The sequence below is a fragment of the Homo sapiens genome, chromosome 7, assembly GCF_000001405.40.
Source record: "Homo sapiens chromosome 7, GRCh38.p14 Primary Assembly".
Lineage (NCBI taxonomy): Eukaryota > Metazoa > Chordata > Mammalia > Primates > Hominidae > Homo > Homo sapiens.
The window spans coordinates 7,968,785-7,994,721 of record NC_000007.14 but is presented as its reverse complement, the minus strand read 5'-3'; the positions used below and the strand labels follow the sequence as shown (position 1 = coordinate 7,994,721).

Here is a 25,937-nt window from a genome sequence, read left to right as displayed (position 1 = left end):
GACAGACAGCAAGGAAGAAAGGTGCTACACTTGAATGTCCCCTCCAAAACTCATCTTGGAATTTAATTGCCACTCTGATGGTATTAAGAGTTGGGACCAATAAGAGGCAATTAGGCCATGAGGGCTCTGCCTTCATGAATGCATTAATGCTATTACAAGAGCAGGTTGTTATTAGAGCTAGGTCAACCCTCTTTTGCTCTCTTGCCTTTCTACCTCTGTCATGGGATGACATAGCATGAAGGCCCTCACCAAATGCTAGTACCTTGATACTGTACTTCCCACTCTCCAGAATTGTGAACAATGAATTTCTTTTTTGTGAAAGTGGCAAAGTAAAATTAAATCAGACTGCTCTAATATGTAAGTTAAATTTAGATTTTAATAGTTTAAATTCATTAAATAATTTAACCCTGAGTCTGAAAATTTTATAAACTAGCTATAATATTCTATAGCTACTTTATTTATTTATTTGAGACAGAGTCTCACTCTGTCACCCAGGCTGGAGTGCAGTGGTGTGATCTCAGCTCACTGTAACCTCTGCCTCCCAGATTCAAGTGATTCTCATGTCTCAGCCTCCCAAGTAGCTGGGATTACAAGCATGAACCAACATGTCTGGCTAATTTTTGTATTTTTTGTAGAGACAGGGTTTCACTATGTTGGCCATGCTGGTCTGTGACACTGTTATAGCAATACGAAACAGATTAAGACAATAGCCAAACAAAAGATTCAAGGACAATACAGATGGTTCCACATTTATGATATTTCAACTTAGAATTTTTTGACTTTATGATGTGTTTATCAGGATATAAACCCATCATACCTAAGTCAAGAAGCATTTGGACTTATGATAGTTTGACTCACAATTTTTTGACTTTACAATGGGTTTACTGGGGTATTAAATGCATATTTGACTTAAAATATTTTCTTTTTTTTTTTCAGGATGTAACCCCCATTGTAAGTCAAGGAGTATTGGCATCTACAACATAATAAAGTCACAAAATATCTCCACAAAACACCAAATATAAATGAGTTGGGAGAAAGCATAAAAAAGTATTGGGCCATAGTGGTATCAGCATCTGTGTGAGAGACAGCAAAGGAATGTACCCAGGCTTCTGATGGTCCAGAGAACACAATTCACTAATGGGTAAATGTAAAGGGCCAATCTAGAATAGTAGCCAAACTGGGAGGGGATTCCACACAATCTGATTTGCAAGTGAAAGCAAGAGGACATCAACTCAATAAAGTCTGAGATACTAGAGCAATATGGCTATGCTCAAATCTAACAAAAAAGAACTGCTTCCAACATGGAATCCAACAGTAAAGAGAAATTACTGAGAGTCTAATCAAAATTGAGCAGACAGAAGCAAAGAAAAGAGAAGGTTGAGAAAAAGTTGGACAACGGAGTCAGGAAGAGAGCAGAATCGAGAATTTTTTTAGAAGTCATTTTACAAAAACAAGAAGAGTGGGAGCACTAGAGCCTTGAAGACAGAAATGGTATCATGAACTATCCACCCTATTTAAAAGTACAAAAAAAATCATTTTACTTAAAAAAAATGAACAACAGAAAATAGCAGATTCTTCCTAAAGTTATTGTAAGGGAATAAAAGCATACAAAGAATAAAAGATGTCCCTATGAATAATGAAAGCATGCCAGAAAGACATGCTCACATAAGATGAAAACTGTGACCTAATATTTCAAAGTAAGCTAAAAATCCTTTTTTAAATGACAACAGTGATGAAAAACCTCATTACTTAAAAAATACTCGGAAATGATGTGTTTGACAGCAAGGAAGATATGAAAATAGAGGTGATCAAACTCAGGAAAAACTTAGAAAAGATATCAAAACTTATTTTAGGGATGAAGACTAAGTTACAAGAAACACAAGAATGAATAAACACAATGGATAATGCCTTAACAGAAATAGGAAATGGTAAGAAAAAAACTACAGAATTAAAAAAATGAGGAGACAAGATTTCAAGAGAAAGTAATATGTAACATAGGCAAAGAAGGTCCAACATGTGTGTGTAACAGGAGTCCCTCAAGAAATGACCAAAGGAACAAAACAAAAAATACTAAAAACTATAATTTTTAAAACTCTCCTAAAATAAAAGATAACTTGAAAGGACATACGGAAAGGACATACTTATATCTGGGGAAAATAATCAACATATCAAATATATCTGATAAAGCTAAAGTGACCTTCAAGTATAAAGGCTACAGATTAAAAAAGCTATATCTGAGTTCTTGCTACATAACTAGCAAGAACTTACGGAATATTGTTCCTATGAGTCTTTCCTGAAAATCTATTAGAGAATGCTCTTCAATCAAAAGCCTGGAAAGGAATTAACATAAGAACTGGTGGAAGGTGTGAGTCATTGAGCCAGCACCTTTGAAGGAGAAGAGAGCAGCAGTATGTTCAGTATCTCTATGGGCAAGTCTTCCACCACTAAATGAAATAAATGACCATAGAAGGATAGTAAAATTACATTGTTTCCCTCTCAACACATTTGAATTTAAGACTATAAATTTCCAGAATGTCTGATAACTAAATGTGAGTTATTAAATTCCTTCTAGAGCCAGATATATATATATATGAGAGAGAGAGAGAGAGAGAGAAACAGACAGAAAGAAAGAAAGAAAGAAAGAAAGAAAGAAAGAAAGAAAGAAAGAAAGAAAGAAAAAATAAATTCTAATATTCCTCCAACGTCATTGAATTGGCTAGCCTTAGAGAGGTAAGTTTTCTCCCTAAGTAACCTAGTAAAGAAATCAGCTCCTGCTCAATCTAGAGGAGAAAGTAACTGAAATTGGAGGATTCACACTAAAACCATCAATAGGTTTTTGCCTATTCTCTCCCTCCAAGCCTGACACTCACAAAGTTCCAAGTGCATCCTATGGAAGTCTATAGCAAGAACCAGGAAAGCATTAAGAAATAGTAGTTCCTTTTATGGAGAAAGATATTTACCATGAGAAATGATGGGATAATGGACTGAGGGGGTTGAAGAAGAGCCATGTAGAAAAGATAGAAGCCTTGAGGAAGATCTTCTCCTTGCAATGGGGTAAATCTAGAAGGGCCTCTTACAGAACAAAGAGAATAACCAGGCTCCTTCCACACTACCTTACCAACTACTGGACATGTCAGTAAAGAACAAAGCATCCCTAAAATTATTTTCAAGGCCAAGAAAAAGCTGATTATGGCTATTAATATTATGGAATCTCTACAAAAGGACAATCAAATTATGCCATGTAAAATGTATTTAGATAGGTGTATGCCTATAATTCCTCTAATTCTGAAAAGTAACATCCTTCCTTGGAAAATTATCTGCATTCTTATTTCCTATTTGAATAAAGAACAGCTAAATATAATACAGAAAACACAACAGTCTCCTAGACAAGTGAATAGCCCTTCTCATGATATCTAAACTGAAAAGTAGAATTCCTAATCCAAATATATTTTAACATACAATTTATAAACAAAAGATTCACACACTTAAACACTTTGCTTATGTAATAACTACAAATTAGCTCGTAACTGTCTAGCAATAGGGTGAAGAGTTAAATCCATGGTTAAATGTAGAAGAGATGAAGGGGAAAGGCCTAGGAAAAAGAGTAACTATTTAACCTGAGTAAGGTATGATTTCCAGCCAAGCTAATCTACTGCTGCAAAGCAAATGATAAATAGAAATCTGTACTGAAATATGTCTGGATACCACTGATTTGCTCAATGCAAAATAATGTAGTAAATTAAATATAGCTCACAAGCTGTATTCTCCCCACCCCCACAATGTGTCCCCAAATCCAGCAATGGTGAATATGTTGTTTACTAGGAAACACAACTAGCTACACTTTTCTAGAGTAAACCCAGAATAAACAGACTCAACAGAATGAAGGCTTCAGAAATACGGAAACACAGACGTTAATTCTAGCATTTACTTTCATATATATTGACACCAAAGAATCAAATATGTAGCTGTAAAGCAGTAGCTTATCCAAAATTGAGTGCTTCATAAAGTCGGAAAGGCCAAAAGCAGCAGAAAATATCCTGAAGGAAAATGTCTTACAGAAATCACACTTTTGTAGAGGCCACGAGTAAAACACAACACAGTAAAACACCAGTCTATGTCTGCATACACAGAACACCTTTCACCTCAACAATTCTACAAATATTGTGCATAAAAGATTGCCAGGAAGTTTTGCCAAGGATTGAGAGCAACTGAAGAAATAAAACAACCAGCAGCATAAACAAGTGTAGGGCAAAGTGTCATAACATATTGGAGGATAGCATTATGCTTTATTTTCTAAAATAGCCACAAAACTGGGCATTATTATCTTTGTCAAAAAGAGTCAATTGATATTACCGATTGAACTGTGCTTCAGTCAAAATGGCACTGTCCAGGCGATACAGACTACAGTCACAAAGTTTTAGTGTTTACTGTATTTAATTTTTTTCTCCTCAACAAACAAAGAGCACTGTTCACCCTAAGTGCCCAAGAAATGAGTGAATTAATCTCAGATGATAGTTTTAGATACAGCCTGAATCATTAACAATACCTAGAATAGCTGGGGCATTTGGAATACAAAACTGAATAATACCTCCAGATGTACTGGACTCATCTCAAAGTAGGAGGAAAACAAAACCACACCAAGCCAGATAGCTCCAGTGGATTTTTTCTCTCCTTTCTCTCTCCCTTCACTTCTGATTACATTTTTAAAATCCTTTCTATGTGTTTAGTATTAACAGGTGACAAGAACTGAACTACGCATGTTCGGAGCATTATAAGTAATGTAGCTCACTTATTTCTCATGGAGATCACACACTTGTATCTGTCTCTCTTTTCACCTATATCTCAGCTATTTTACTTTCACTTTAGAATGAGACAGGAGAGGAAAAAAACTAACAATCAAAATATGTTTACCTTGCACTTAAATGATTAATGCAAGACTTATCTACCAGGAGGTATGTTCCTAAAAGGCAAGAATGTTGTCATATTTTCATTTATCTGACACCTAGTATATCTACTTACAAAACAGTTGTTAAACTTGTGGCTATCACAAGTGGTCTCCTTAGCCTTTACTATGAAATAAATATTCAAAAATTTAAAATCGCCTGGCATGTATTCTAGACCTCTTTACCAAAGCAGACTTTTGGGAAGAGCCTCAAGTAGAATAGCTCCATATTTCTCGTTAATATTCTTTATGTGAGGCTCATCTAAAATCACTGTGAATAAAGTACAAGACAGTGAAAAAAACAACTTGAATTCAGGTCCAATTGTCATTCTATTTTCCTCATTTATATAAAAGACCATGATTTCTATGCTCTGACATTTTACAAACACAAAAATAGAACAGGTTGATGGAGTGTCTCTTGCATTGACAGATGCACTGCCAACACAAATTAACCATACTTGCCAATGTGACAGATTAGATAAGGAAAGAGAGGAACTCCCAAGGTTAATTTTCAAGGTGGCTCCAATAGCATCAGCTAGTGGACTACCTTCTTCAAACTCTAAAGTACAGTAAGGGTGGTAATGCTAGCCGCTACAATTTAAAATTATAGCTTTATTTTTATAAAAAATTAGTGCCTTATCACAATAAAAGCCCAATATGTATTTTCTGACTGACAGATTGCTTTTTACTTGATCATTTAGGGATTCAGACTTCATTCATCTCATGGCTCTACCATTCCATTAGGACCTTGGTCAGAGTCCTTTACTAGATTCTCTGCATCCAGTTGGCAGATGAGGGAAAAGAAAGAATGAGGAGGACCACATAAGAATTTTTAAGTTGAACAAGGATGAAAGTGTTCTTTATCATTTAGCCTTATCTAACTGCAGCAGAGGTCAGCAAAGAAAAAAATACAGAACTGCAAAGGGGGCCAGAAATTACAGCCTAGAAGTAGGCACAAGAGGGAGAGAAAAGAGGATTAGGTGAACATATAGGAGTCTACTATAGAAGACTTTTTGTATTATTAATAACTCTATTTGTCTAAATTACTCTTGGAGACAGTCTGTCCAAATTTTAAAGTGACTCTCATTGCATAAGCATCATCATCTGTCACCATAAATAAGATAATCTAACTTAATCACCTACCTTACTCTCCACATTAGGTTCTTAATGACATTTGGTTATTTTCAAAAGTCGTATCTACCCCTAAAAGACAGATTCACTCCAAGAGTATTCTAAATGAAATTCTCCGAAGACATTAAAAAAAAGTACTTCAAAAAGACTAGAAAACATATATAATTCCTCAATGTGACCTCTTTGAATAGGCTTTTAGAGGAGTGCACTGTTTTCCTTAAAGGATGGTCAGGACTCCCATAACTTATTCGAAAGTTCTTAAGATTTGTCAAAGCAAGGTGGTATGTAATTTCACACTGATGATACTAAGTATCTACTAATAACAATACACCTGATAGTAAAAAACAAAACAAAACAAAACAAAACAAAAAACTCTGCTCATCAGCATTAAAACACGTAACACTAGTTGAACTTTCTGGATCCTTTTAACATAGACTTAACCACAAAAACCTTATTGTAAACTGTAAACTCTTATCAACAGAGACTCCAGTGCTGCCTTAGTTCTAGGTTTTGGGATTTGGGGCCATATGGAGATGAAAGACTATATTCTCATATTCCAAACATCATCTTACTGAAAGACTACTACTTACTCTCCCCAAAAAGCATTATGTCCGTCACTCCCATCTCATCTCCAAGAAGACTCCCATTATCTTGGTACTGTTGTTCTCAATTTAATATCATGAGGAAAATAATCTAATTGAACTAATTCATACAAAGATAGTGAGTTTCAAGGATATCTTTTCAGAGATACGCATTTTAAAAAATAAAATGGTGGCTCACTCCTGCAACCCCAGCTCTTTTAAAGGCCAAAGCGGAAGGATAACTTGAGGCCAGAACAGCCTGAACAACACAGTGGAACCCCATTTCTAAAAAAAATAAAAAATAAAAAATAAATTAGCCAGACATGGCGGCATGCACCTGTAGTCCTAGCTACTCGGGAGGCTCAAGTGGAAGGATCGCTTGAGCCCAGGAGTCTGGGGTTACAGTGAACTATGATTATGCCATTACACTCCAGTCTGGGCAACAGAGCGAGACTCTGTCAATCATCAATCAATAAATGACTGTCAACTCAAAAGGATCTCTAAGTAGTAAAATGTCAGGCAATTTGTTAGAGTGAAATAGAAACATTCAAGTAGAGAAATACATTTGGTGGGCAATGAGATCCTGAACAGTCCAGAATTCCTGCCCTCAAGAAACTGACATTTCAGATGAGATGACAAGTGTCTTAAATAGTGACAGTACGATGTAAAGGTGTAAATACAGTGCTTTGAATATTCAAAGAAAGCCACACTTCTCTTTACCTGGAAACGTCAGGAATATTTTGCAGAGAAGCATGATATTGGAAAGCTGTTTGCAAAGAACGGCTAGGGTTTTCAGGCAAAAATCATGTATATTAGAGGCACAAGTATTCCTGACAGGAAAAATATACCCAAAGAAAGTGAGTTCAGTTTGGCAGGAACACAAGGTACACAGTGGAGGATAGTGAGATGAGTCTTTTACCCCTAATTCACCAAGGAACCAACAGAAATCTTTCATTAAAATCAGTTTTTGTGGGGTTTTTTTGTTTTGTTTTTAAAGAAAGACTGTACTTATAGCAGTATAATGATTACATTAAAGATGCAAGACAACTGGCATGGGAAAAGACTTAAGAGGTGACAATTCCAAAAGTCCAAGCAAGAAGTAATAATTAGGACATGGAAAGAATGCAAAAAAACCCCACCATGTTCAGTAGATAATTCTGAGAAGGTAAGACAAGATATAGTGACCAGAAGGATGGGAGAAATGAGTGAGGAGAAAAAGTCAAAGATTATGCTAGTAGGAAGTAAGAACTCAATCCAATGACACTCTAGGTCTGAATATCTCTTAACCATAAAGGCTGGAACCATCATGCCAATAAGTGAAGAAACCAACTCCATTTCTGTACCAAGTCTCTGAGTGTAAATTTAAATCATTCAATACTCTTACCTTCATAACTATGCTTCTAATCATATATTACATATGAATCTTTAAAACACATGACTCAAACTTGCAATTATATAGAGTAAAATTTGTTGAATTTTATTAGTTTTATTCTCAGTAACACAGAAAAATACACTAGGTCACTTTTTCTTTTTTTTCTTTTTTGAGTCAGAGTCTCGCTCTGTCGCCCAGGCTGGAGTGCAGTGGTGTGATCTCGGCTCACTGCAAGCGCCGCCTAGCAGGTTCATGCCATTCTCCTGCCTCAGCCTCCTGAGTAGCTGGGACTACAGGTGCCTGCCACCCCCCCCTCCCCCTGCTCCCGGCTAATTTTTTGTATTTTTAGTAGAGACAGGGTTTCACCGTGTTAGCCAGGATAGTCTTCATCTCCTGACCTCATGATCCGCCTGCCTCAGCCTCCCAGAGTGCTGGGATTACAGGCAGGAGCCACTGTGCCTGGCCACACTAGGTCACTTTTTCAAAGCATGTAAATTGAATACGAATTCCTGTACTAAGAGAGTATGATATATTCTATTTTGTGAAAAAGAGATTGAATACACTTTAAAACTTTTTATACAGACAGTAACAGGATCAAGAAGAAGATAAAAACCATGAGCAAAATATCCAAAGACAGTTATAATGATACTTTAAAAAATTCAGATTTGTAAACTTGTAGAATGTGTAAGGATCATGTCTGTTTTAACTTGCCATACACAGGTACCAACTATAAAAATACTCATTTCCAGCCAATAGAAATGCAGTAATTATACTTTTCAATGCTTGTTTCAAGTTTGAATTTAAATACCAACATAATCTTCCACTCAAAAATTATAAAGCCAACCCCAGCAGAGAAAATTGATACATTTGTTAAGAAAATTAAACTGCAGATAACAGGATTGCCATTCTAAAACTATATTATATGATTCAGAAGAAAGGATTTATATCTAAACGGATTGATTTTTCTCCAAACCCACACACAACAAACTTACACCTTACCAAATAACTCTGAGGTAAACAGTTCAGTCAAGGTGTTCAGCATTGAATAAATGCTTCCGAGAAGGAAATATAACACTATAAATAGTAAACTTCCCCTGAATCACAAGGAAGACATTCAGGAATATGTCTAGTTGGGTGTTCACTGGTTTTTTTTTAACTTAAAGTTCCAGGATAGATGTGCAGGACGTGCAGGTTTGTTACACAGGTAAATGTGTGCCCATCATTGGTTTTATCTTATACGAAGTGAGCAAATCCTAAGTCACTATCCCTCAGTATATTAAAATTACCTAAAGTATTATGAAAAAGTGATCATGAACCTCTACTCTGTATGGAGAAAATGTCAGGAGCCAGGGATTATCCAGTGATTGCTGAAAAAGGAATGTGAACTTTAGGGTGCGCATGCTATTACTCTCTTTCTCTTTCTCCCTCTCTCTCTCCCTCCTTCCTTCCCTCCCTCTCTCATACACATACATACACACATTTCCCTGGGTCCTTAAGTATATACGAAAACAACAAATTAAAATCAGCCTGTAGAAATATACAAATATACACAAAATCATAATCTACAGCACTAACCATATTTGTAGTCTAATTATGCTTACTTACTGCTCTGTCCCCCTGACAGTGACAAGAGTAGAATGTTTTGTGAAAGTTTTTCTTGGAAGAAGGACAGAAATATGAGGCTGGTTAGGAATAATTTCCTAGGGAACTATAACTAAAGTAATACTTTTTTAAATAAGGACAAAATATTCCAGAAAAAGTCTTGGGATATTTATCCAATATAAGCATATCTTTTCACAGAAATGTGAGAAAATCATTAGCATATATGAGTTCTTTCCCTTTTAGGGGTTATTTGAATACCACATTCCTCAGAATTGTAAAACTCAGACAGAAAGGGAATGGAAAAGATGTATTCATGTTCATTTATAATAGTTTCTTAGGATATTAATTTTGCTAAATCTCAGTAGAACATTTTATTCAGCAATGAGAAATTACACTATTCAGTTAATATGTTTTTACAACCTCAGATGAACCTCAACCTTGTGTAACTGACTTCCTAAAAAGTTTGCGTAAATAACATTTTGTAAATTGGGTCATTTTACCTGCACATAAGTTAGATATTGCGTAGAGCAAATAACCACCTCAAAATCTGCTTTACAGTTTAAAGTTTTTACATTACGATGAAGTTCAAATTAATATATAATTCACATTCTCCTTACTTGGAGCTCAGTATTACCACAGTCTTTAGGAGGGACTATAAAAACATCAGAATTTTTAACTTGAAGAGCCCACCAAATTTTGGGCATGGATGGTTTAGTTTCTCTAAGTATAACAGATTCAGGGTCAGCACTGGTGGCTCTGTAATACCAGCAGTTTGGGAGCCCAAGGTGAGAGGATTCCTTGAGCCCAGGAGTTCAAGACCAGTCTGGGTAACATAGGGAGACCACGTCTCTATAAAAATTAAAAAATTAGCCAGGTGTGGTGGCACATGCCTGTGGTCCTGGATACTCCAGAGGCTAAAATGGGAGGATTGCTGGAGCCCAGGAAGCTGAGGCTGCAGTGAGCCATGATTGCGCCACTGCAATCAGCCTGGGTGACAGAGTGAGACCCTGTCTCAAAAAAAACAAACAAAAATTCAGAAGCTGAGTCCATGGAGCCTCACTAAATCAAAATTCACTTAATAGAACTTTAAATGTAACTTAGAAACTCATTCTGTGGAAATCTATCTTCCATCTTTTAATATGTGGACTATGCTGACATCACCCATCTTTATCCCACCTATCTCTACCAGCAAGAGCACCCAGCTCCTTTTATTTTGTGTGAAAGTCTAAATCAGTGTTTTTCCACCACTACCACTGAATAACAGGCCTTAAATGAAGATAAAAACCATCAGTTACCTAAACTATTAGGCATTTTTACAAAATGGGCAACACAAATATAATCTATTAGTTTTAACCTTTGTCAGATATTCACAGGACTTGCATGCACTAACAATCATTGTTCATGTAGCTGGGTTCAAATCACAGATTTGAACATATATAGCTAAACAGAAATCTCTATATAAACCCTATGTAAGGATTTAAAAAATATTTACTGCAAGGCTGGCTTTCTAAACACCAGAAACCATAGTAGATGCTGGAATACTAAAAATGACATGCTATTATTTGGTGAAGCACAGATATCCACCAAAATTACCTTGAATACAGAGTTATAAAAACATCAAGATAAATGAAAAATCATAACTAAACTATCAAAGCCTCTAGAATCACTACATTAACTATGGAATAATACAGTGGGTCAAATAATCAAAGATTCAGCTACTGCACTATACATTTATTTTATATTTTGAGGCACTTAATTCAATAATAGAATAATATTTTAAAATGAACAAAACAAATATTAATTATAATTCATTTCATTACTTTTCCTATACCTCCCTATTTCCTAAAATTCCTACATACAATTTTATACAGTTTCTTACATGGTTATAGTCAGAGGCCGTAAGATTTTCTTCAGTGTTCTATATGCCCATAAAAAAGAAAATCCACAAAATATGATTCATTTAACATTGTTTGCTTTACCAAGAAGTTAACTACAACACGTACTTCATTAAACAGGAATATCCGCATAAAGACATTATTTTTTGACCACATGTTTAATACAAAGTACAACGGGGCAAGTGTCCTAAAGACTAGCTAACATAACTGAATAGTAATATTAAAGGCTATAATTCTAATATTTTTTATAATTTGGCATTATTTTATACAAATGAAGATACTCATAGCACATGATCAAGCACTATAACTCCTAGACAGACAATGTTCACAGCAGCAGTTTCAGCAGCAAAAACAAAACTAAATAAAACTCAAATGTACATCAACAGAAGAATAAGTATTCATATAATACAATACAGCAATAAAAATGAAAGTCACAAAAGTAAACAAACATTATGCCATTTATACAAAATTGAGAAACATACAAAATTAACATTTCATTTAGAGATACCTATGTACAAAGCAAATGACAAACACAAATTTCCAAATAATTACTTGAGAGGGAGAGGGTTCTTAGGGGACTTCTAAAGTATAGGCAATATTCTAGATCTTAAGCTGGCTGATGAGTATACAGATATTCATATTTATTATCCCTTTGCCTTTATAAACACGTTTATGTATTTTTGTAGCATAAATACTTCATTTTAAAAGAAGAGTAAAAATGTGAAAGACTTCAAAAATGAAGACTACCATTTATGTATAACAATAACATTAGTGTAAAAAAGTATACAAAGAAAATGTTGAGTTCTTTCAGTGCCCTATATAATCAGTATTAATAATCTAAAGGGTGATAATCCTAGTATGAAAAAAATAACAAGCTCTGACACAAAATCTGAACACCTGCTTTCCTGGCACTCTAAGTTAGACAAGGGTGAATATGTTAGCCACTCAATTCTGCCTCTTCATCTTTCATCTGTACTTAGATTTTTCTTTATCTTTGGATTTTTCTTTGGATTTCTGCTTCAGTCTCTTTTTACTCCTTTCTCTTTCATAAAGATGTCTGGTATTTGGATTTGTGACTATTACTATAATGGCCATTCCTCTCTTGCGATCAGCTACGACTTCAGTTCTGAGTTCGGTCTCTCTTTTTACTCTTTCATTTCTCCCAACAGCTTTCTTCTTCTTCGTAGTGACCAAACTCCAAACTTTCTCATACTTATCTGGATTAATATTTTTGATTGGTATGTAGTCTTCATCTTCTTTTACTTCAGAGCAGTGATGGGTTTTCTTCTTGTGATTTTTACTTGTGTGTGAGTGACTTGACTTGGAGTCTTCTGCCTGCTCATCTAGTACAACATTATATTTTGCCTCCTATTTGGGCTTACTTTATCTTTCAGAACCAAATTAGATGGTTTATCCTGTTCCTTTGTATACTCCTTTAAATCACTCTTGGTGTATTTCCCACTTTTTCCTTCCATTTAACCTTTGTAACAGACTGGCTAAAATCCATGTTTTCTTCTGTCATCTATAAGTATATTGTCCATTTTGAAGAAGGCTTTCTCATAATCTTCTTCCTTTTCAAATTCAATAAAAGCATACATCTGTAATCCCAGCACTTTGGGAGGCCAGGGCAAGTGAATCACCTGAGGTCAGGAATTCGAGACCAGCCTGGCCAATATGGCAAAACCCTGTCTTTACTAAAAATACAAAAATTAGCCAGGTGTGGTGGCACACGCCTGTAGTCCCAGCTACTTGGGAGGCTAAGGGAGGAGAATCACTTGAACCCAGGAGGCAGAGGCTGCAGTGAGCCGAGATCGTGCCACTGCACTCCAGCTTAAGCAACAGAGTGAGACTCCATCTCAACAAAAAAAGAAAGAAAGAAAGAGAGACAGAAAGAAAGAGAGAAAGAGGGAGAGAGAAAGAAAGAAAGAAAGAAAAAAAGAGAAAGAAAGAAAGAAAGAAATAACAGAGGATTTCTCCTGTCTTCCAGTCCCAGATAACTTCACAACTTCTTATTGGCCCAAATCTAGAGAGTATTATATCCAGATCCTCATCTGTGGTCACTGGATTCAATTTGCATACACAGATTTTTCCGGAGGTTTAATATCTGCATCAGGTAGGTCTCCCACCATCTCTAAAAGTAAAGCCTGAGTTTTAGCTTCTTTTTCTGCCTTTATTTCTTCTACTTCTTCGGCTGACCTTCGTTTGAAATGATCAATTTCTTCATTTGTGTCAACTCTACCACTCTTTAATTGTTCCCTTGTAGGTTCTGGTGATTGATCAGGGATTAATAAATCAGGAATGTCATCAAAATGGACCATCTAAAATCACTATATAATTTATCCTGATATCCTGATATGGTACAAAGTCCTTGTCAACAAAGGTCTCATTTATTTTCTTAATTATGTCAATGCCTTCTGTCACCTCACCAAATACTGTATGGTACCATCAAGGTAATCTAGATTTTCTCCTGTAGTGATAAGAAACTGAGATCCATGTTGATCACTGTCATTATTCACCATGGACATTGTGCCCTTCTTCTTGTGCTTAATTCTTGGGACGTTTTCTGTCTCAAAAAAGCTTGCTTGATCACCATACAATCCTAGGCCAAAAATAGACTCTCCTCCATGACCAGTCCCTGTAGGATCAACAGTTTGTATGATAAAATACCTTTGTATACTGTGAATAAGGCAATAACTGTAATATTTTATTTTGTAATATCTCAAGAAATTAAAGCAGGCGAGTACCTTCTAGATGCTTGGCACTGCCATCACAAATGCCATTAAACTGTGGTACCTGCTCTCAAAAAGTTCACAGTTGCAAGGCTGCTGCTCAGTGTGCAAATTGACAACCACATTGCCCACAGTAGTCTCCAGTAGAACCGCCATGGCACCCACTTCTCCTCAGCTATAAGCCCTGGTGAGGTCACTAATATTCTTTAAGGCAAAAACTAAAAGTCAATAGAAACTGAAAATAGGTAAAGTCTGATTATAAGAAAGAAAAATAGGGCCAGGTCCAGTGGCTCACACCTATAATCCCAGCATTTTGGGAGGCCAAGGCAGGTGGATCACTTGAGGCCAGGAGTTCGAAACCCCATCTCTACTAAAAATACAAAAAATTAGCCAGGTGTGCTGGCACACTCCCATGGTCCCAGCTATTTGGGAGGCTGAGGCAGGAGGCAGAGGTTACAGTGAGCCAAGATTGTGCCACTGTGCTTCAGCCTGGGTGACACAGCGAGACACTGCCAGAAAGAAAGACAGAAAGACAGAAAGATAAAGAAAAAATAAAAGAAGAGAAAGAAAAATGGGTCACTGCATTCAACCAAAGTTTCAGGTAAATGGTGACATAACACATGAAAAGTTTGTCACTTCCCATTCTAGCTCAGCAATAGCAGATATTTAGACAAAGCCAATTCCTCCTTATCTCAACAGCCTCACAAGGCATCACTGCCCAAGATTACTACACAGTATTATTACTACATATTACTACATTACTACACAAGAAGCCACATTCAACAATACAGTTCAGACTTCTGCACTAATGTATATGTATGCATAGAAAGAAAGGGCCAGTGACATCATCCTAGGCTAAACTATAGTATAATATTATAATAGGTAAAGGCAGCAAGATACGTTAGATGTAAGTATGTTATAGAAACCATAGGATGAACCAATTAATATTTCAAGCTTCATCTAATGAAAGAAAAATACACATAAACAGAGTGGCAACTTCAAAACAGAACACCAGAAAAAGCTCAAGCTAACTTAGAAATAAACAATTCATATATAAAATCTAAAACTCAGTGACAATAGCATATTTCTGAACAAGGATAACTCATTTAAAATCTGCTAAGAATTTGACCCACTATTTGTTACCTAAAAAGATAAAAAGTGAGCAAATGCAATTCCCTGAATGCGTTTTTTTTACAAACTAAGAGGTCACTCTGGCATGTAAAGTATTAATAGACCTTTGAAATACACTTTTTAAGCTCTATGATCGAAATATTGCAGAATACTGTAGCTTTTTTCAAAAATCTAATCTCTGAGCACAGTCTAAATCCTCACTTTTGCAATACTAATGAAACTGCATTTAGCAATGTTTGCCAACACCAGTTTAGTTAAGTCCTAGACACTTAAATGATCTGACATAAAGCAGGAAGAGGACTGTTGATTGATTCTTTTAAGGTCAATGTGTCAGAGTAACTCCAAGAATACTTTAGAAGAAATAAAATGACACTTACAAAACTTCGAAAGATATTATAAATACATTTTGTTTATAATTAGCTAATATAAACCAATCTATATTTTACTATGATATTTTTGTACCTTCATAGAAAGATCACTTCACAAGTTTGTATGAGGAATAGTAAAGTTTCCATATGGCTAGACTTGATGTAACCCTGAGCCACTGAGTCCTACTGTTTTTATTATCTTCTAAGATACCAGCATTACACTTCACTAATTCAATGTACAACTGATATATTTAACTAGAAAAGTAAATATAATTACAGAAGAAATGTTATGAGAAACTTTATCCATCACAAAGACTCTATATAATACTTTTGCTCTCCTAACAATAAACACAATTTCTAATGTTACTTATAAAAGAAAATCGTTTCCACATTAACTACTATGCAGAACTTATAGTAAGCACAAATGACATTGAAAAAATGCCAAAACACCCCAGAAGAAATTATTAAAATAGAGATTAAAATTTATTTTCTATATTACATCAACAAACCTAAAAGAAGTGAAAGAGCCAAGTACATATAAATAATTTTTTTAAGGTAGTGTGCATTGCTTTGCCATGACAGTGTTGTATAAAAAGATACTATGTTAAATGTTGCTAAAATATCAAAGGATGATAAATGTAGAGAATCATAATTATGGGGCTGAAGGTAGCCTTATAATACATTACAAATGGGCAGATTTTTTAAAGTTTACATTGCCAAATATGAATACACAAAAAAGAGACCTTATTCTACCCAGATTTTGAAATTTCATGTGAAAGGAAGTTTTTAAAAATAAAATGCTAAATTCTGTCTAAACAAAGTGATAGGTCCTTTAGGGACCAAAGGGAAGGCCCAATGATGGCATAATTACTGGGGATACTTACAGCTATTTTAAGTTCCATGCACCCTAGCGTCTAGTCCCATTTAGCTTTCTCTTCTTCCCTCACCGCCCCAAAGCTATATTTAGCCTTTCTATGACTTAACTGTATAAGCAGTGGGATAATACATTGTGCATACTTTCCTGCCCCATAACTAACTGGGTTCCAACAACAACTTTCAGCTATCTTGAAGTCAGGACTTAGAGCATTACAAGAGCCCTGTGCATGCTGCCTGACCTTGGGCAAATTACTTAACTTCCCAGGACCTCATTTCCTCATCTGTGAAAAGAGGTTAATAAAAGTACCTTATATTGGATTCTACCAAAGATTATTAGTTGGCATAAAGGCTCAATAAATAAAAATTTTAAGAATCATCTAGTCTAATAAACTTTCTTTTCCTTTAAATAGCTCAATCTTTTCCCTACCCAACCAAAATCTTAAAAAGTCTATCCCCTTCATTTTAAAGACACAGAAGATAAGATGCAGAGTTAGTGGCTTGTCATAAGACAAATGTCAAAACTGAAAAGAGAACTCAGGTTTCTTGACTCCAAATCTAGTATTTCCCAGGATACATTTATGCCTCTACGACATGTCTATGGAACCATTTGGAAAATAATTGCTTTGGCCTTTCATTTGATAATTAGTTCTAGAGAAAACAGCCCGGTTATACTATCAAGGACCAGTTCAGTCAAACATGCTTTGCTCCACCTTCATCAGAAAAACAGGAAATAATCCCAAAAGCAAATTTATAGAATCAGTTATAGCACAAGTCTAGTCAGTCAATACTCATTCAGTCTTATTCTCAATATCATCTATAGTAATCAATTTTATGTATATGTTATCAATAAGTTATTAATAAAGCTAATCAAGCCACAAGGAGTTCGTTTATGTCTTGTTCACTGTGCTTAACAATCAAGTGTGTAATGACGTTAGAAAATGTTTCATCAGAAAGCTAATTTTTTAGTAATGTAAAAGTTAAAATTAGCTATACGGACTATTCACAAAAGTTTTCTTTATGGCTACAGAGAATAAATAAGGAATTATTACTGTCAGTAGTTAATAAGTATTTGATCTTCAGTAACACTAGACAGGAAGTTGTAGCAGTTTTCACCTTTTCATTACGAAACACATCTAGATGGTTGGTGGATTTCTTAACTTTTTTTTTTTTTTTGAGACAACACCCCACTCTAGCACCCAGGCTGGAGTGCAGTAGGGTGATTTCAGCTCACTGTAACCTCTGCCGCCTGGGCTCAAGTGATCCTCCTTGAGGATCACTCAGGAGGATCCTGAGTAGCTGGACTACAGGAGTGTCCCACCATGCCCAGGCTAATTTTTATATTTTGCGCAGAGGCAAGGTCTTGTCATGTTGCTCAGGTTGGTCTTGAAATCCTGAACTCAAGCCATCTGCCTGCCTCAGCTTCCCAAAGTGCTGGGATTACAGGTGTGAGCCACCATGCCCAGCAGGATTTCTTAACAATTCTAATAACCTGGTAGACAATTTTGGACACTGACCTTGCCACACAACCGTGGGTTACTAGTTTTCCTTTCCTTTCTTTTATTTCCTTTTTCCTTTCTCCTTTCCTTTTTCCTTTCCTTTTTTTTTTTTTTTTTTTGAGATGGAGTTTCACTCTTGTTGCCCAAGCTGGAGTGCAATGGCATGATCTCAGCTCACTGCAACCTCCACCTCCCAGGTTCAAGCAACTTTCGTGTCTCAGCCTCCCGAGTAACTGGGATTATAGAGGTGTACCACCATGCCCGGCTAATTTCTGTATTTTTAGTAGAGACAGGGTTTCACCATGTTGGCCAAGCTGGTCTCAAACTCCTGATCTCAAGTAATCTGCCCACCACAGCCTCCCAAAGTGCTGGGATTACAGGCATGAGCCACTGCGCCCAGCCCACTAGCTTCTTTAAATCATCATTCTTTTTGGTGAGCCATCATTAAGGTATACGATGGTGGACTTCATTAAGTTATATACGTACACTGTTCAACCCACAAATTGCAGATTCTTGGAAGCCTGTTGTCTTTTGGGAGGGCTGAATCAACCTAGTGCCAGTTGCTGGGACAATCACTTGAGACCAGTCTCTGTTTAGTGATTCCTGAAGCTTCCATCAGTTTAGCACCATATGTAATTAACTTTTAACATTTATGAAGAGAGAAAAGGGGAGAAAAGCACTTATATTCACTACAAAGTGATTCGAGGACAGTACCGATTCTGAATACACACAAGAAAGCCCAGATACAATCATGTTCCTATCTTCAGAAACAAGAATTTCTCTCTCTATCTCAGAAACAAGGATTTCTCTCTCTCACACACACATTCTCTCTGTCTCTTTCTCCTTATATGCAAGAAAGAAATGGAGAAAAATGGCCAATCCATCTATATTTTATTTTAGTTACATTCAACAAACTAGGTCTCACATTTTTAGACATTCTGAAAATGTCAGACCATACCCCAGCACAGCGTAATAGTGCCATGGAAACAAAAGAAAACCAATTCCTTTGTCATTCTTTTAGCTTAGAAATCACAGCTGATCATCAACATTAGAGTCTTTTTGAGTTAGGAGCAACAGCATAGTCTTATGGAATGAACACTGGATCTGGAATGAGAAGATCCACATCCTAAATCCTTGCTGAATCAAAGTATACATTGCTTGGTATATAGTTAGCACACAAATATATGTTTTCTTCTTTCCTACCTAAAACTAGAGACACAGCATAGTATAGGGGAAGTCACTGAGGTATTCATGAACTTGGTATGTGCCTTAGTAACATTCACTTGGAATAAACAACACTGCTTAAAGGTATCTGCCATGTTTGTTCATGCTACAATGAAATACTTTTCCACAATTTGTTCGTAAGTAAAATCCTTAGATTTTTCAGAATTACTGCTAATCCATTATAATTTGTCTTTCAGAATAAGCACAAAAATTCTTCCAGAATAGCCAAATGATGAGTCAACTTATGGTCACTTTCAAGGGTCCAAATGAAGAGCAGAGGGAAATACAGGTAGTATCTGCCTTCCATCAGTTCCCTAGGCTTTCTATATCAATATATGAGTACTTGTGTTCCCTTTCCTCCACTTACTTTTGGCAGAAACCAGAAGTTAGATATTTTCAACCTCTCGTTAAAATAATTAAACAGTATGTAGCACAAAAAGAGTGTCAGTGATTTAGCTTCTTAGACACTTAATAAAAGAATAAATTATATACTGAAGACAAAAAGCAGTGCCAGACACAGACTAGGACAGGGGCTGCCAGAAAGTCTATCTTAGTGGTGTCTGGAAATGTTAAGTTCTGGAGAAAAGACCAAACTAAAATTAAGAAGAACTAAGTCATTAGACTATACTCTTTGGCAGATTATTAACTACCTGTGAACATTTTAATAAAACAGACTTTTAGAATTTTTTAAAATTTCAGACTAAGGAAAACCCTCTCCGACTAGCCATTTGTTGAACACTGTCATTTATTTCCATTCCACTCACTGCTGTGGAGCCCAGTTACTCCCTTATTTTCTTATTCACATGTAGTCTGACTTATCACAAGTAAAACAAAAATCACAAGGACGCCATTATCCTTCAACATTTCCCCAAAGTACAAATCCTAATTTGCATTAAGTCCTTACAGAAACGTACACGGCAGTCCTTCTGTAAAAAGTACTGTAATTAATAAAATGATTTCCAGTTCGATATATACACACAGAACTTTACATACAGTTAAAAACTGATTAAGATGATTTACACATGCTAGGTATTCAATATTCAATACGCTTACAATAACAGTTATTTGAGAGGAATATAATCTTTGAACATAAGACAATAGATTTTGATTAAATAACTATAAATTCATTTATCTATTTTGCTATTCACTGATTGATCTAGAAATTTTAGGCACCATGAGATAACTGATGGAAAAAAATAGTTCTGTAAATAATGAACACTGCTGCTCTCTAGCATAGTTTTCTGAGAATGAAAACCTTTCCCAAAAGTCAGTATGTGAAACCTGTCTCTTTAGAAAAAGCTAAAACATTAATGTAGAAGAAAGCTTTGAAACAAGTATCTATAAGCACTCAAGGAAAATTAATTAATTTTAAAATGGAAAGGGAGGATCTTAATTTTCAAGAATAGCCTGAGAATAAAACTTTATAGAAAGAGAATATCTGAGTATCTCTTTTAAAAGAGAAAAAGTTATTAAAATTTTTTGTATTCCATTGAGCACAGTATAAAAATGACTTAAAAAGATAAATTTAAGGAAAAGAGAAAAACTGAAAGCAAATGAATGAACACAGGCAAACATATATTACATGGAGTTAACATTATATTTGCATTATCTTTTAGAATAGAATCATAACTTCTTTATGTATAAAACAATGAGGCTCTCAAGATACTCATGAAAAAGTCTAATCAAATTTCACTCTAGAGTTAGCAATCTGGTAGAGTATTAGGCCTAAATAAACCTGATATGTTAAATCAGGAACTAACATATGCTATTTTTCAAAACAGGAGCTATATAAATTACAAGCTCTTCCATGTTTTTGTTATCAGATTTGGTACACTTAAAAATAAGCTGTATTCTCCATCCAGAGTATTCTAAATATGACTGTTTTTACATCTTTTAGAACTTATAATTAATCCTAATGATCTATCTTTACAAAACACACACACACACACACACACACACACGCACACAAAGATTTGCATTTCCTACTTACTATCTTGGACAGTAAAACTGTATTTGTTCTATGTTTAAATCCATGGGTTCTGGTCTGTGAGGTTTCAAAAAGAAGCAACTTTACTATATTTTCTTTTGGTTGTTACTAATGATTTTAGCTTAAAGATCATTAATTTTAACACTAACATCCTGCTTTTTCTCATTTGAGTTGCTCTATTTATCTCAAAGGTAGACTTTATGTATTACCATTACAAAAAAATAACTATTTGCATAATACTTTATGATTTTACGTCTATTACAAACACATCACAGGGAGCCTGAGGATTCATTCAGCAGCCTGTCATTCACCACTGCAATACCCTTCAGAACCAAACAAGAGGGAGGATGACATTTTACTAATGGCAGAAGTACAGGAATGAATGTAAATAACAAACCTTGAAGTTTTAAAAATACAAAAGAAAAAAAACAAGCAAAAAGAGGATGATGCATGAGCACAAACAAAACAGTTTCAATTTGTAAAACTCCATGTCTGCTATATATACAGCAAGGTATTTGGCAATTTACGTATTTCTATTATGGTAACCATTTAAATTATTTAAAACTATACTACAAAAATAAAGGAAATTATCATTTTTTCCTGGGTTGTATAAATTAATATTATAATAATATTAAAATTGACTATTCCTATTTATAGAATTCAGCTTTTCCTCAGCCTTGTGAAACAATCTGAATATCAATTCTCTATTACTCTAGCCTTAGCCCTACAAATATTCACATTAAGAATGCTTAAGACGCAGATAATGATATAATTTATTTAGAAATTGAGTGGTTTCATAATTTTTTGGTAAAAGAATCATAAAAACATTTTTAAGCTTCCATATTTTCTCCTATAATCATCACTCCAGATGAAATGCATGAAACACTGAATGCTCAGTTATGTCACCTTTAGTCGAAATGCCCATAGCCCTTGCAGCTTTTCATAAACAATATGCCTTTATACTATATACCTACCCCTTGAGCCATCAACTACTTAATGCTTTCAAGTGTAGTTTCAAACGCAGTTTTAACACCCTCTTGCGCGCACACACACACACACACACATACACTGAAGTGTGCAGAAAAAGGAGGAGGTGGAGAGCAGAGGAAGAAATGGAGCACGTTGTTGTTTTTCATTCATGCAGTATAGTGATGTCAGTGTCTGCAGCAGCAGTGGCAGCGGCAGGAACCTTGACCAGTGGAGGCTAAAATCCACTCAAGTCAGAACCTTACAGCATTCAAAAGAAATTGAGAAGATAATCATTCGAAAAATTAAATCAACTGTTCAGATCATGGATTTTAAATGGCTAAGGAAACAGAACAGTTTAGTAGGACAGTTTTAATTTGGGTAGTGGGGGTAAAAGGCGGGACATGGAGAAGTAACATAGGAGTAATATAATCACGGAACTGGGGGCACAGAAGCCCGCATTCAAAAATCACTGCAATGTAAGAAACTGACAAAACCACCTGGTGTTTAAAACAGCAGAAAAACATCTTTAGCAAAGAAAGCCCTTGCATTCCCAACACAAGCTCTCTGACACTGCAAATCTGTCTGCTGCACAACCAGACTCAGAAAAGTGTTTTCATCATGATTGCATTAAAATCGCATTAAACTCGTATGTGCCACACTACAACAAAGAGAATAGTTTAAGCCAGATCACAAATTTTATTAAAACTGCTTGATGATGGAGCATGTAATTCCTAGGCCATTAAGCCTTTTGAAGGATGCAGAAAAACAAGTTGTACTATTATCCGTTGTAAGATGTTAGTGTTTATATACAAAAGGGGAGGAGGTACTAGATGGCCATTATGTTGTTGCAGCAATTGCCGAAACTTCTCTTACTCACACCCACCAGACCCTCTGTACACAATCTGCAATGCTTATTTTATGCCTCTTAGTCCCTACAAGAAAATCCCAAAACTCAATTTGTGCACTGTTGAAGCGAAATCACTAAAAAATTTATGTAACTGTTTTCTGTTCGTTCTGTTACTTCTCATTTCATACAGTTCTAGAAAATGTGCAAAGGAGTTGCATATGGCATTAATCTGTTAGAAAATGGTGGCCTTTTCTATAAAATACAGCCAAAGATGTGTGTTCAGTTGTGGTCATTATTAGGGCGATCACGTTGTTTTCATTCATTCATTCAGGATTTGCTGGAGGATGTCAGTTTCTGCAGCAGCTGGCTTGACCTGGGGGAGGAGTGCAGGAGCATATTCCTCCCAATGCATACAGATTACAGGATGTATTTCTTGCTGCTCATGTACTCATCCCACTGCACTACATCCTACACTGGTTCACCATCAAGTGGTCAGAAAACAAGTGCGTTAGCAACATGCTAATTACGGGTCTGAAATATTAAAACAAAAACACCAAGACTGCAATGTATCATAATGCAGACAACCACTTTCTCCAACTCTAACACCTTCATCAAGAAAGCTCCATTAAAAAAAAAAATTCCACATACCACATAAACAATGTACAGACTTTGACAGTGTTTCCCTTCCAAGCAGAGATTTTTCCACCCAGTATGATCTGTTCCCTCCACAATGCAGCAGCAGCATCTGTAGCTCTAGTTCGGTATCTAACAATATTAGCTATTCCACTCTCCCTTATGAGCTTTAAGTCCCTGTTTTGGCTAATCTTCCTTTTCTCCCCCAGGGCTCAACTAAATCATGCACTGTGTCCCTAGACATAAACAAAACCAAAGCAAAACAGAAAACACTAAGGGAAACCCACAGCATCCACCAGCTCACCATTACCTTTGACACCTAACAAAAAAAGAAACTTGAGATCCTTGAACAGCTCAACTGAACTGTTAAGTGTACTTAAAAATGGAAGGAAAAAAACGAACACGTTCCACAAATAAGTTTTCAGAAATTTACCATGAAAATCTCCGGTAGAGCACAAACTGTTTCCAGTGCAGGAGTGCTCTGATGCATGAATATATAAAGGGGAGGGGGAGAAAGAGAGGGAGAGAGAGAGGCGGGGTGGCGGGGGGCTGGGGGAGAGGGAGAGAGGGAGGACTGAGGGAAAAAACCGTATACACTTCAATTGTACATTCAAAACTGTCCCCTCTAGCAGATATCATTACATCCAGCCGATATCCTTACATCGAAACTAATGCCACCAACCCTCTAAAAAATAAAATACTATCCCGGTAGTTACAGGCACGTTAGGAACTTTGCAGAAAAGCACAAAGAGACGGTAGAGATTACAACCGCCACCTTATCCGCTGCTGAAGAGTTTGTGTGCGTGTTAAGTGTTTCGCCCAGCTTCTCCTTCCCCGGCTACAAACGGCAAACACACGAATGAGCTAGCCAGCTCTTAAACTGAAAAACCTCTCGAAGCAGGCGAGTGATGGAAGAGAGACTCTGAGGGGCGGCATGAGGGTCAAATAAAAGTCGCTTTTCAGTTCGCTCCTCCAAGCCCCACAGCGACCGCAGGGGGGTGAGATTCCCAAAGCCACTTTCACACCTTCGATAATGCACTAGCAAAGAGAAGCCCGAAGAGGCTGAAGTTTCCACGGAGGGCACCGTCGGGGAGACGCAGCCCGGGAGGACGGGAGGGTTGGGCTCGCTACCTCTGCACACGGGCGAGCCGGGGCTCCGTCTCTCAGGTGAGCTGCTCCTCCGGTGGCTCTCTGGGGACCGTCTCGGGCGGCCCTTGGCCCGCGGCGCCTGCTCGGCCGGGGCTGCGGCCGCCGGCGGCGTCGGGCTGGACGGGCTGGGGCCGCGGGCCGCGCCGGGCCCCGGGAGGCTGCCCAGCGAGGCGGCGGCAGCGGCGACGGGCGGACGCGTGGGACTGTGCTGGCTGCCCCGCAAGAGCTGGTAGGGCACCGTGGCGCGGATGGGCTGCAGCAGCCGGCCGGCTCCCGCAGCCGGGGCGCAGCCCACGCCGCCGCCGCCGCCCGCACCGTTCCCGCTCCCGGCGGCGGCGACGGCGGGCGGGGACCCCGCGGCGCTGCGCCTCATCCTCTGCGACGGGGGATGAGGGGTCTGAGAGGAACTGGAGGAGGAGGAGGAGGAGGCAGTGGACATGGTGGCTCTGCGGGCCCTGGACGCCGCCGGCCGACACGGAGGCGCGGGGCGGGAGGCGCGCGAGCGTGTGGGAGCCGGCGCGATAGTGCGTGCGAGTGTGTAAGGGGGAGGGGCGGGGGTATCGCTGTGGGGGAGGAGTCTCGGGGCTCCCCCTCCCCAACGCACACCCCCGCCGCCTCGGCGAGGGGGGAGGGGAAGGCTGCGAAAACAAACGTCCAACGGCCGCAACCGCCCGGCTGGGCTCGGTGTGGCGGTCACGGCCGGGGCCGCAAGGAGCCCGGAGCCGCCGCCGCCACCGCTCCAGGCATCGTGCTGACAGGGCAACGGCCCGGATCACGCAGCCCCGAGGGCCGCTCGCAGCCTTCTCCTCAGCCCTCGCAGGGCTGCACGCACGGGAGAACCCGGCAGCTGCAAGGAGGGCCGGGACCCCTGCTTCTGGGGACCAGGGTAGAGAGAAAGGGCCTCGAGGTGCTGGCGCTCCTCGGAGTCCGCGCCACCGCAAACGCCGCCGCCGCCGCCGCCGCTTCTACCCACTCCTCACTCCGAATGGCAACTAATTCGCCCCA

At 37.7% G+C, this 25,937-nt stretch overlaps 1 protein-coding gene and 1 pseudogene across 1 annotated transcript in view, besides 4 other annotated features; both read right to left on the bottom strand.

Moving 5' to 3' along the window:
- Positions 1 to 25,926, bottom strand: part of GLCCI1 (glucocorticoid induced 1) — a 120,285-nt gene extending 94,359 nt beyond the window's left edge. Inside the window, exon 1 of the mRNA NM_138426.4 lies at positions 24,915 to 25,926. Within this exon, the coding sequence (NP_612435.1) occupies positions 24,915 to 25,371 (457 nt within the window). The 5' untranslated portion in view covers positions 25,372 to 25,926. The remainder of the gene's footprint in view (positions 1 to 24,914) is intronic.
- Positions 12,293 to 14,445, bottom strand: LOC100421597 (peptidylprolyl isomerase like 4 pseudogene; annotated as a pseudogene).
- Positions 24,464 to 24,553: an enhancer, noted in NCBI's record as "active region_25653". NCBI's record gives its function as "activates an Ori minimal core promoter by ATAC-STARR-seq in GM12878 lymphoblastoid cells {active_cell/tissue: GM12878}" and the evidence as "EXISTENCE:reporter gene assay evidence [ECO:0000049][PMID:35858748]".
- Positions 25,034 to 25,113: a silencer, noted in NCBI's record as "silent region_17969". NCBI's record gives its function as "represses an Ori minimal core promoter by ATAC-STARR-seq in GM12878 lymphoblastoid cells {active_cell/tissue: GM12878}" and the evidence as "EXISTENCE:reporter gene assay evidence [ECO:0000049][PMID:35858748]".
- Positions 25,204 to 25,263: a silencer, noted in NCBI's record as "silent region_17968". NCBI's record gives its function as "represses an Ori minimal core promoter by ATAC-STARR-seq in GM12878 lymphoblastoid cells {active_cell/tissue: GM12878}" and the evidence as "EXISTENCE:reporter gene assay evidence [ECO:0000049][PMID:35858748]".
- Positions 25,344 to 25,743: a silencer, noted in NCBI's record as "silent region_17967". NCBI's record gives its function as "represses an Ori minimal core promoter by ATAC-STARR-seq in GM12878 lymphoblastoid cells {active_cell/tissue: GM12878}" and the evidence as "EXISTENCE:reporter gene assay evidence [ECO:0000049][PMID:35858748]".